The sequence below is a fragment of the Homo sapiens genome, chromosome 4 (genome assembly GCF_000001405.40).
Source record: "Homo sapiens chromosome 4, GRCh38.p14 Primary Assembly".
NCBI lineage: Eukaryota > Metazoa > Chordata > Mammalia > Primates > Hominidae > Homo > Homo sapiens.
The window spans coordinates 172,144,961-172,158,238 of NC_000004.12; the positions used below are offsets into that span (position 1 = coordinate 172,144,961).

At 36.8% G+C, this 13,278-nt stretch overlaps 1 protein-coding gene across 4 annotated transcripts in view; it reads left to right on the forward strand.

The window, feature by feature from the left end:
• Window positions 1-13,278, forward strand: part of GALNTL6 (polypeptide N-acetylgalactosaminyltransferase like 6) — a 1,228,156-nt gene that overhangs the window by 331,557 nt on the left and 883,321 nt on the right. The window contains exon 1 of one of the 4 annotated variants that reach the window (XM_011531993.3): window positions 11,027-11,262. The exons of the other annotated variants lie outside the window; for them this stretch is intronic. The gene's annotated coding sequence lies outside the window, so the exon portion shown is untranslated. Of the gene's footprint in view, window positions 1-11,026; window positions 11,263-13,278 lie in introns of those variants that run through there. 4 annotated transcript variants of the gene reach the window in all.

A 13,278-nucleotide genomic window follows, 5' to 3' on the forward strand; every position in this document is an offset into this window, starting at 1 on the left:
ACAACATTTTTTTTTGAGACAGGATCTTTCTCTGTCACCCAGGCTGGAGTACACTGGTGTGATCATGGCTCACTGCAGTCTCAACCTCCCAGCCTTAGGTGATCCTCCCACCTCAGCCTCCTGAATAGCTGGGACCACAGCTGGGAGCCACCACACCCAGTTAATTTATTATTATTATTATCATTATTATTATTTTTGAGATGGAGTCTTGCTCAGTCACCCATGCTGGAGTGCAGTGGCGAGATCTCTGCTCACTGCAAGCTCCACCTCCTGGGTTCACGCCATTCTCCTGCCTCAGCCTCCCAGGTAGCTGGGACTACAGGCGCCCGCCACTACGCCCAGCTAATTTTTTTGTATTTTTAGTAGAGATGTGGTTTCACCGTGTTAGCCAGAAGGGTCTCGATCTCCTGACCTCGTGATCCGCCCGCCTTGGCCTCCCAAAGTGCTGGGATTATAGGCGTGTATTATTATTTTTTTAGAGACCACGTTGTCCAGGCTGGTCTCAAACTCCTGGACTCAAGCAATCCATTCACCTCGGCCTCCCAAAATTCTGGGGTTACAAGCATATATATGGCATGAGTATTTCTGGATTTAGCTTCTCTATCTTCTCATATCTCAGTCTCAACCATTCTTTAAAAGGTTATCTGTTTTACTAGTATCCATCTAAAATCACAAAGAAAAATAAAAACATTTTTATTACTGTCTTTTCTGCTAAAACATTTTACTTCTCAGATCTTAATAATTAACTATATTCACGTGGCTACAGGTAATCATACTATAGGTCAGGAAAACTCTATCTCTTTTCATTTTTAGGGTCTTGACTTGGCCTAAAACTTAAATTGGCATATGATAGTCAATTAACAGAAGAAAAACACACAAAATTAATAGAAGTTTTATGTGACATAGAAGTCCCCATAATGACATGAACACCCATTGAATAAATAAAATACAAATGTTTTATATTAGGTTGAACAAAGAGAGGCAATTTTGGACAAGGAACTAAATTATGTGGGGAGGCTAAAGGAAAATAAGAATCATTTTAAACAAGGTCTCTTTGTACACAATGCTCTTGGCTATGACTCCAGGTCAAAGAATATTTCTATCCCTAAAACAAGAAGAACATCTTTCTCATAGGAGTTTTTAATCTCCTGTTTTCAGGAAGAAAAAGGAAGAATAGAATTCCCTTATTACATCTGCTGTTTATCAAGTGTCTAGCTCAAAATAATCCTTACTCCAAAATGGCATATTTTAGAGGGCACATTCTGCCGCCCTTCAGTAGTATCCTTTCACCTACTCCAGGTCAATCAATTCTTTTGCGTTCTTTATGACAATAAGGATTTGACTTTTTCAACATAAATATTTAAATACGTGTCAGTTTTGGAAGTGTGAACTATAGAAAGGCAAAAGAAAAGAAATATAAAAGGCAAAAACAAAAAAATCACCTGTAAACTTTATGTCCAGGATCACTACATTCACTCTGGTTGCCTCTGTATTAATTTTTTATTAGTACAAAGGCTATACATGTCTGTGAATTTGCATATGGGCTTTACACATCTACTAGTTTTCTGCATAATTATTTGTTAAATGGCAGCATGGTAAATGTATTATTCAGAAGCTGCTCTTTTATTTTAATAATAGCCTGAGACTGTTTCCCACTTCTGCATTATGACAGTATCTCCTATTAAAATCTATAATGATCGGTATGGTTTATTATGCTTTGTCTATTGTCTGTCTCACCTGCTAAAATGTAAGTTCTGTCAGGGCAGGGACCCAGTGCAGAGTCACTGCTGGCAAACTGTGGGCTCTCAATAAATATTTGTTTAATTAAATAACATGACTGACATATTAAGATAATTTGGGATTCAACCAAGTTGTGTGAAGTAAAAGGGGATCTATGTTATTAATCAATAAGCACATATTAGCTACAATCCCCCACAAGAAAAACTGTAGTTTTGCTGATATAGAATTTTGTTAAGACATTTAAATATATTAATAGAAAAATTAAGTATGTATTTTTAGGCACCGGGATTGTTGAAGTAGACTGTCAAAACACAGTTACAGATAACAGTTCATAATAGAGGACATGTGTTTTCATATTGTCACTTGCTTTATTGAAAATAAATTTCATTAAGTTCCCATGTCCTGTATTTCCAGTTTTGATCATTAATATATATTTGTTACTGTCAACTTTATTAAGATGTTAGCCTACCTTTCTGAATATAAAGCTTAGCTATAATCCCATGTAGTTTTCTTGCATTTTAATGTATTTGCTTCATTATGCAAATTTTGGTTTCTAAACATGAATATTTTTGCAAGCAAAATTCCAGCATAAAGGAACAATACCCCATTATGCAAAATGTTGAGGATTCTCATTATCGCTTAAGGTACAGAATAAAATGTCAATATGCTAAACAAATGACCATGGGTTTGGCCATGAAATTTGTTAAAGGCAATTTGTTCAATTGACTTCTTATTTATGAGTTCATCCTCGATGTGTGCGGGTGCACATAAATTCTGAAAGCATATGTGAAGTACATAACGTGTGTTACATTTTTTAGAAAATCAGTTAGCCTATGAGGAATTTTTGTTTTCATCTTTCCCTGAGAGGTGCCAATTCTATCATTCAGTGTCTTTAAACATTTTGTGGTTTCTAGAAAAGTTATACTACACAAACCCTAAGCAATAATTTATGACGAAAAGAAACATTCCCAGCTTGCTGGAAAAATAGAATAGACAGTAAAAAAATAAAAGTATGCCTATCAACAAAGCATATAAGCATTGCAGGGGAGATCTCTAAGAAATAATACTGATCCCTTGGGTGATGCCAGAGAGTAACTCTAAGAGCTGTTTTTTGCAGAGCAGCCAGAAAATAACCATGAAAACAATCCTCGAATACCTGAATCAGCAGCAATTTTACTCCATGCTTCTGCAAATAACAGAGACTTTTAATAGCATTGTGAATAAACTTCTCCATCTACTGGCTGAAGGTCAAATTTTGATCTTTATTACTTATAAGAAACGTATTTATTTGTATGTCTGTAGGCATACTTTTTTCATGATGAATGTATGATCAACTAAAGGAATAACTTACTCTCTTTAAATCATAACATGGTATGACTCAAAGAATCACAAAAAATTTTGAAAACAGTATTATTACATTACAGTATAAATTAAGCCAACAATTTATATTTTTTGAAAGCCATTAATTTTATTATTATCATGATTAAGTACAATTCTGAGTATTTCTTAAAATATAATATATTTCATTTGGCTATTGAGAAATTTTTAAATTTGCTGATATGTAGAAAGATAATCTCTACTTGATTGTTTTCATACGCAGTTGTGGTATTACACACTAGAGATCCATTAAGTCTTTGCTCCATCTGTTTTCAAAACATCACTCAATTTGACAGACTCTTAAACTATGACTTAGAAATCAGATTAGGAAATTAATAGCAACCAAAAACGTATTGTTAGCCAGAATTTAGCAGCCTCAATTTAGTAAGGAAAGTTATCTGGCCATCCAAAAATGGTACTGAATAAAAGAGAACATAAGGCACTGATCCTCCCAGCAAAATCTTGGATCCTAAGAATTTTACAAGCCTTATAACCTAGTATGTCAACTATTTATATGTTTCTTTTACAAATTTCCTATGCATGTTATATCTCACCTGCCTTAAACAACACATCCTTGCCCTTCTCACCAATCCTAAGTGTCTGAAACTATGAATTATCAATCATTTGAAGACCTTAGCTGCCAGCTCGAAGTGCTCTTACATTTCACACCAGTATTAGCTAATAGAAATGTGAGCATAATGCTTATTCTGACTTATCTTGATTATGCTATCCAATCAAGATGTATTTCTGATTCTTTCTTATAATTTAGAATTACTTTACATAGTAACTGTCTAGATGGACATAAAACAGCCCTGCAGGAGGTTGTTATAGTAGATGTTTTCTATATAAATTTTTTGCTTCTGTGGCCACAGTATGATTGCTAATTTACACAGTGAGGTCTCCATAGCTAAGGCTTGTCTATCAATAGTCAACAGCTCATGTATCAAGTTTACCCTTCACCCCAGCTCCCACATATGCTGTAAAGCTTATTTGTTAGATAGCAGAAAGCATCAGTTTATATTATTCTGCATTTTTAAACTGCATCAGATTCAAATAGAAACTGTTTATTGTAAGAAGTTCATAATTTCAAACATAAGAAAAATACATACACACATATACATATAATATCCATTTTCAGTATATCTATATAACAGACCAGTTCTTTTCTCCTTAAATATTATTTTCTAATTCATGTTCATGTAATACACCTACACACTGGACTCCTCAGTCTGGGTCTGGTTAAAAATAAGTTCAATGAGAGTGTTACATTGTATGCGCTGCTTTGACCTGTAGGACATATTGAAGCCATGACCTATGGGACATATCTTGCAGCCATGACCTATGGGACATATCTTCTCTCTCTCTCTCTAGGTCCCTTTTCTCCTCTGGTTTCCTGAGGCTCCTAGAGGTGTGTCATTGCACTCACAATCCACTCCAGTATGCCATTTCAAGCTGCTCTTTTACACTGCTCCTGCTTATCTCTGGGCCTCTGTTTTGTGTCATCTTAAAGCTGCTGCCACCGCCGAGCCCTGGTTTTCGCCCAAGTCACCGGGGGATGCTTCCAATCACCATTTCTAATTATAATTTTACTGCTGGAGTTTTATTCCAGAAATCTGAGATCTTCCTCTTAAAACTGCTCATGAAATCACCTCTGCATCATTCCACAGGATGCTGCTTGCCACAGATCACCAGCAAACACTTGTTGCTCACTTCATTATCTGACAGAATACCACTGTCCATACCCTTCTCATGGACCACAAAATATCACACCATTGAGATTTAAAACACACACAATTCCTCTTTTCCTTAACATACACATACTGTGAGAATGGTTGGGGCAGAACAAAGCAAGTAACTGCCACAAACTGCACAGAGCTATTTGTTGAATAAGGCTCTCAGAACCTGGTCCTGTGACTAGCTAATTTCTTATGCCAGAGTCTTTTCTCCCTAGGAATTTTCATACAGAAATCCTGAAGAACTCACCCCCATACCTTTACTGGGCCCACCACCAATACAAGCCCACTAAGCATCTCCTCATTTCTGTCAACTCCAAATAGTCAGCTCTCTTGGAATCTTTCTTTAAGGTTTTTCCTCAGTCCCCATATAATTCAGTGGAAACTGATTTTTGAAGAGACATAGTGCCAGCCTTGCATACTCAATGTCTGCTATAAATATAATTATTTTATAAGTTTATAATTATTGTAGTTATGTGTGGTTAACATGTAGTTTCTAAGAGGAACATGTAGTTTCTAAGAGATGGGTTTTTCAAACTGAATAAACCAGAGGATGACCTATAAATATTACCACTGTGGGATGAAAAGATTTTAGAAACAAATTCTAATAAATGCTAAGAGAGAAGAGAAATGAGTTACATGAGTAGAATGGTAGTGAAGGGGCTACTTTAGATTTGGGGCAGGGACAGAAAAATCTTTTTGAGAAAGTGTTCTTTTAGCCAAGTCCCCTTTAGTCAGTAAAGAGTGCAGCAATGATGTTGCATAGAAAGGAAATAGTATGTGAATATTTGTGGATGTAAAACAACCCTTGGTGGATTCAAGGAATTAAAATAATAGATAAGTGGCTAAAATAAATTGAGTAACAGGTCACAATGGAACAGGATGAAGTTGGTCCCTGGGCAGTAGGGAGAAGAGGATCAGTGGAGGTATACGACATAATAAAAGATACATTGTAAAGGGAAGAAAATAGAGATATATTTTTAAGCATACTCACCTAATAATTTTAAAATATTAATAATGTCTTATAGTACAATGTAAAAACATGTTGTATTTTAACTGTGGAAGAGAGAGTTAAGAAAAGAAGTTGCAGTTGTGTATACTTAAGCTATGTTATAAAATAAATAAAGTTCTGATTCCATAAATGCATTAGGTCCTTCTCAATCTACTATTTGGCATATGACATTAAAATATTTGTTTACTGGACCCATTATTTAACTTTGGAAACTACCTAAAGAACACATCCAGTGATATTAGAGACAATTCTTTCACATGAGCATGAATTTTAGGTGACTATGCCAAAAAGAGTTTGACATCTGGTTACCATTCTATCTATATAGATGACATAGATTGATAATGCAAAATAATAAAAAAGTAAGATCTTAGAAGGAAATGGCTAAGAGAAATAAAGTCATGAAAAAGAAAATATATATTCTAAGCTTGTTTCAAATAGCTCCAACTCATCAGTAAAGAAAAGCAAAATAAAACCACGAGATAAAGTTTGTTTTAAAAAACAAGTTTTAAAAAGATTTTTTTCCGTGATGGCAGGAATAGAGGAATACTCGTATCCTGATGAATTGTAATTTGCTAAACCATTTTTAGACAGCTAGCTCACAATATATGGCAAGAACCATAAAATATATTTTCCAACATTATTTATGCAAGATAAAAACAAAATGAACGCAGAGATTTACACATGAAGACTTTCAGTATTGTAGGTCCCTTAGGATTAGCTATCAACGTCAGGAGGAGTGTTTTGGACATTTATAAACAGTTTCAGAAGAAAGGAAAAGTGGAGCAGATAGGGACTTGAAACAATTCAAGAGTTGTTGAAAGAAGATTTTGAAAAATCCAGGGCAGTGTTTGTGAAACGTGAACATGCCTAGGAATCACCTTGGGATCTTGTTAAAAGGTGGATTCTGATTCAATAGGTCTGGGCAGAGTCTGAGAGTCTCTAACAAGCTCCCACGTGATGCTGCTGCTGTTCTCCCTACACTTGGGTAGCACACTTCATGGGGGACGGCTGTGACACTACCTCTTATGCCTACATGCCTTTTCCATATATATATATTTTATACATTTATATCTGTATATATAAAAATATATATCTATAATCTATAATATAAATTTATATCTATCTATCTATCTATCTATCTATCTATCTATCTATCTATCTATCTATGTTTTTAAACTGCGTCTCTCTCTGTCATCCAGGCTGGAGTGCAGTGGTGAAATCTCAGCTTACTGCAACCCCCACCTCCCGGGTTCAAGCGATTCTCCTGCCTCAGCCTCCTGAGTAGCTGGGATCACAGTTGGGCACCACCAGCCCTGGCTAAATTTTTGTATTTTTAGTAGAGACGGGGTTTCACCCTGTTGGTCAGGCTGGTCTCAAACTCCTGACCTCAAATGATCCACCCACCTCAGCCTCCCAAAGTGCTGGGATTAGAGGTATGAGCCACACTGCACTCGGACCATTTCCTATATTTTTTAATTGAAGATCATAACTGAAGTGTTATGTTTGTCAGACAGGGGAATATGAGTCAAAGACGTTGTTTAGCTTTAAAATAATAAAACCATTGCCATGGAGTTTGTAAATGTAGACTGAGCTTTCTCCAGGTGTTGTCTGTGGTGATTGCATAGCTGTCATGCCCACACTCACATGTGAGCTTCTCCCTGGAGACAACTGCATTCATGAATGAGAAGCCATTTGCCTTACTGATGTTTCATCATTTGAGTTTACTTTCATTTATGTAAGAATGAGTAACGAAGAAAAGATAGCTCAGAAGTTTCAGAAATGCAATTTTTTCTTTCTTTTTTCTAAGACAGGGTTGAGCTCTGACGCTGAGGCTGGAGTACAGTAGTGAGATGTCAGCTCACTGCAACCTCTGCCTCTTGGGCTGGAGTGCTCCTCCCAGCTCAGCCTCCCAAGTAGCTGGGATTACAGGCACCCACCACGACGACAAGCTAGCTTTAGTATTTTTTTGTAGAGGCGGGGTTTTGCCATGCTGCCCAGTTTGGTCTCGAACTCTTGGCCTCATGCAGTCTGCCCGCATCAGCCTCCCAAAGTGCTGGGATTACAGGCGTGAGCCACCGTGCCAGACCGGAAATGCAACTCTTTATAAAGTGTCTTGGGGAAGCAGTCAAATGATTACTTGGAGCAAGGATAAAAGAATTACAACATTATAATGAGTGAAAGGATGTTTTAAATCACTATAATTTGTTCACACAGAAATGGATTCCTAAAGTTATACATAAAAATTGCCTTCAAGTTATAGCTAGAGTTCACATCCGCTTATTGACACCAACCCCTAAACAACGTGCTGACCATTTCCATCGTTGTGTGGAGACTTTATTCTAAAACTTTAATATACAGCTTTGACATCTGAAGAGATTTTGGAAAGAAGAGCGGAAACTCGTAGTAAAAGGGCTTACTGTTTTACCTCATTGCTTTTAAGAAGGCCTCTTACAAGTCTTTACACGAACTATGATATTGCATCTCTGTGCTCAAAGAAAATGATTGGAAATGAATCAAAATTGGAGTCACAAACCAAAAATTGGAGTCGATCATATTCCTAAACCAAGGGCCTAAGTATTAGGGATTTTAATTTGAATTAACATGCAGATATCTTTTTAATGTTTTTAAGATATTCAGTAAATATTTGCAACTTCTGTTTTGTTTTCATTTAGTTACAAAAAAAGATGAAGTCAATGTTAACTCACTGAAGAGCAAGCATTACTAAAATGCCACGTTTAAAATCATTTTACATAAAAACTATTATTAAGATCTAATTTAGAATGATGTGTTTACTCTGAATTTTGCATAAATTGCCACGCTGGTTTGTCACGGTGCTTTGATCGTTTGTCTACTAGATATTGTTCTCACAGACCATACAGGCTGATACATTTGTGAATTTAATCATCTTGTACAATACAAAACGTATGGTCACACATTCACAGTAACTGAATTCAGATGTAGCAAATGCTGACAAAAAGCTCCTGAGGATCTTTCATGACCTAGGAATTAAACCTAATCATCAAACAATGCTTGCAGACTCATCAAAGTACAATACTCTGCCACCAGGCCTCTTGACCTTTCAAGGAGGCGTTGCCAAAAGGCGGCTGAGGCTGCCCGGGAACATTTAAATGAAGATTTTGAAGAAGATTGAACCTAATGTTAGGAGATTATCTCTTTATTATCTGGCACAAAGCAATTGTGTTGTGGTTTTTGAGGTTTTTCTTCTTTTTTTTTTTCATTTTCAGAGTACTTTATTACAATTAGGAAATTACTACTCACTGCTTCTTGTGTGTTAAATAAAAATCATGCTCATTTTACATAAAAAATCACATGAGTTTTTTTTTTTTTTCGTTTTCCATAACTAAAATGAAACCCTGTAAAGGGAGTAAACCCTGACTTTGTTTTTTGTTTGTTTGTTTGTTTGTTTGAGATGGAGTTTTGCTCTTGTTGCCCAGGCTGGTGTGCAATGGCGCGATCTCCGCTCACCACAACCTCTGCCTCCTGGGTTCAAGCGATTCTCCTGCCTCAGCCTCCCAAGTAGCTGGGACTACAGGCATGCTCCACCACGCCCGGCTAATTTTGTATTTGTAGTAGAGACGGGGCTTCTCCATGTTGGTCAGATTGGTCTCAAACTCCTGACCTCAGGTGATCCGTCTGCCTCAGCCTCCCAAAGTGCTGGGATTACAGGCTTGAGCTACTGTGCCAGGCTCTTCGTTTTAAAACTATTTTTTATACTATCTTTTGAATGATGACTTGCTCATTTGTGAGGTGTTTTGCTTCTCAAAAGGAAATTTTCTTTTTGCTGGGTCTCAAAGCCATGGTACATGAATATGCTTCCTCTCACGTAGTCAGTACTGAAAACTGGCAGGCATACTTCGGTAATACCAAGCAAGGAGACTGCAAGTACCATTCTCCAGGCACATACAACATGAAATATCATACAGCTGTGAAAGATCTGGTGGAAAGCTGGAATCTTGAGGAAGAAACATTTTTTGAAAATTATTTCTCTCTCTAAGTCAGTAAATGTTTGATATAATTCTGAGTGCATGGCTGTAGTCTGAAAGTTTATGTGCCCCTAAAATTAATATGTCAAAATCCTAACACCCATGGTGATGATATCAGGAGGTAGGGCCTTTGGGAAAGTAATTAGGTCATTAAATTAATAAGGAAATCGTATCCTTTTTTTTTTTTTTGAGACGTAGTCTCGCTCTGTTGTCCAGGCTGGAGTGCAGTGGCACAATCTTGGCTCACTGCAACCTCCGCCTCCTAGGTTCAAGCGATTCTGCTGTCTCAGGCTCCTGAGTAGTTGGGATTACAGGAGCCTGCCACCACGCCCAGCTAAGTTTTGTATTTTTAGTAGAGACTGGGTTTCACCATGTTGGCCAGCCTGGTCTTGAACTCCAGACTTCAAGTGATCCACCCGCCTCAGGCTTCCAAAGTGCTGGCATTACAGGCGTGAGCCACCGCGCCCGGCCATCGTACCCTTTTAAAATAGGCCCGGGGAGCTTGTTCATTGCTTCCACCAAGTGAGGATACAGTGAGAAGGTGAGGTCCGTGAACGAAAGAAGAAGCCCTCACCAGACATCAGATCACACAGCAGCTTAATTTGGGGTTCAGCCTTCAGAACTGACTGTGAAAAAAACATTTTGTTGTTTACAAGCTACTGAGTTTATGGCATTTTGTTATAGTAACTTGAAAAGACCTTAAGACAATACATAATCATCTATATCTACAGCATATTTTCTACCAGATTTTAATGCCACTAGCTTAAAAATGCAAACTAGCATTATGAAATGTTGGCCAATATTAGTTACTATTTATGGAATGAATGTTTAAGTATATTTTAATGTTCAAGCAGTATTTAATAATCATCTTTACCTATTATGTAATTCTGACAAGTAAATTAATATTACTCATTAGATCAGAGTTTAGATTACTGAGATATTTTACTCTTCGCTTATTTTTTGAATTCTGTACTATAAAATGTAAATAGAATTCTGACCACACTACTCCATTTTCTAACCTTTCTTACTTTCCATTCTCCTTTTGCTCTTATCTAGTAGTAAGCTTTTTAAATGAAATAGCAAGCCCCAACCAGACATGTGATCATATAAGTTTACCAAATTAATATTTACATACTTCAAAAGATAATTTTTACCTTTTGCAAGGCTCTTGTATCGGTTGGAACCCCGAGAACGTGCCAACAGACAACAGGAGGCGGTGTGGAGCTACAGGCTGTTTTAACGAGCGCCTGGGTGCAGATGGGCTGAGGCCTAAAATGGCGTCAGCGTCAAGTGAGGACGGGGCAGGGGTTTTATAGTCCTCTGTAAACAGGAAGTGTCCGAGTCTGAAGTGACTGCTACGTAGTACCTTGACAGCTTCCTTTTCGATCTTCAGCGGGTATGTGTCTCTCGGCCAGCTTTCTTCCTGTTTCTGCTATCTTCCTGGGGCAAGTGGCCTTGAGCCTTGGGGCTGGGCCTGAGGAGGGAGGAGATATCCATTCCCTTAAGCTTTCAGGCCCCGGGGGAGAATCTTTCACCTTTGAAATGCCTGAGGAAAAAACTATCTTTTTAAAATTTTATGGATTTAAACATTTTCTGCGTGATTTTGATTTGATTCCACACTGAAAATGTTTTCTACAGGAAACTGTAGAGCGTTTAGATCAAATGCTTTTTCCACCTAGGCAGATATTTGACTTTAAATATACATATATATATAATATATATATATATATATATATATATACATACTATATATATATAGTATATTGTACTTCTCTTTATCTTTCCATAACTCCACTCTGTAGTTTATTAACTGTGAAACGACATGGAAATGAGAGATAGGCAATTATTTGTATCTTCTAGGAAAACACAATCAAGTTGGGGAGCCATGACCCTTAAATGTCATGACTGATACACATAAAAAAGAAAGGACACTTTAGGAAGTGTGTGCCATGGGGTGCGGGGGAAGCCTCAGTTGATCTCATTGGGAAGGATGGAAGCTTTTCTAGGTAGCTTTAAAGATCATGATCTGGAATTGGACAAGCTCTGAAGTTTCCTATTACAACTAACCATTATATACTTGTTATATATATGCTTATTATATACTTGTTTTCCTGTAATCAGCTGGAGAGAGTATGTCCATTCCCATAGACTCACTGTTAAGTGCCATTATCATAAAGCTGCTTTGTGTTCAAAACACTTTTAATTACTAGGAACAATATTTATAAGATGGGTTTGATTTTTAGTTAGTTATTATAACTTTCCTATTATAACTAACTCCCCAGCCTACATATCTTCTATTTCTTCCCAACATTGCATATTCCAGCAATTGAAAATTATCACAGCTAAACTTTAATTTGAAAGAGTAGAAAGACAATAGTTACCCTCACTGCTTATCTGTAGGTAATGTGCCTACAGCAAGATAGAAAACTATATCGAGTCTCAGAAGAAGGAGCAATGCAGCCTACAAATGATTCAGTGGTGACTAGGATTTGTTTTTATTACTGGCATTATGAAATAGAATGCATTTCAAACTGTGAGTCCTACCTCTTTCTAATTATTTTCTCCACACTTTTTCTTTCCTGCACTCTATCTTCCTTTTGATTTCCTAAATCTGTTTCTTCATTCTGGGAGGCAGCCTACACCAATGGTTAAATATTTGTTAGTAAATGTCATGGTGTGCTGAAGAGTAGCATTTTAAAGTTATAGTAATTTATTTATGAATACAAGGTTAGAAGACAAGTCAATTTACCTCAAGATACTTGTTTCCCTGTAATCAATTGCAGAGAGTATGTCCATTCTCATAGACTCACTCTTAAGTGCCATTATCATAAAGCTGATTTGTATTCAAAATACTTTTATTACTAGGAACGATATTTTAAAGATGGGTTTGATTTTTAGTACGAAGAACCTACATTTCATCTTTTAAAAAGGTATCTTCTAAAAATTTTCTAAATCTAGTTTCATTGTCCCAAAAGCATCTCACAAGATTTTAAATGTTTTTTATGATTAGATTGTTGCATCAACATGCTATCAGATCCTAAGCTATGTTTGCTAGTTCTTCTCCTCAGGTACATTAAATTAATTGAGCATATTGTGGCCTCTGCAGCATGATGTTTTGCTAGTAAATGATTCATGTTGCGTCCCAACCACAGTGAACAGCAAACTTTCACCAGAAACAGATGGAGGAATGATCTTGGCCATTTGTGGCAACCTCAGGTTCATCTAGGAAAAACTGAAGTTCATTTAAAATTGACCTCAATATGCTGTTGGCCAGATTTGATTCACCTCAGGTGCATGGTTCTACTGAGAAAGTAATCAGCACCAGCAGATGGCCCTCTCTAGGCTCACTTTCCTAGGCAATTAAAAATCTGTTGCTAGGATATATAACTATCAAATATTTGATATCTTTACG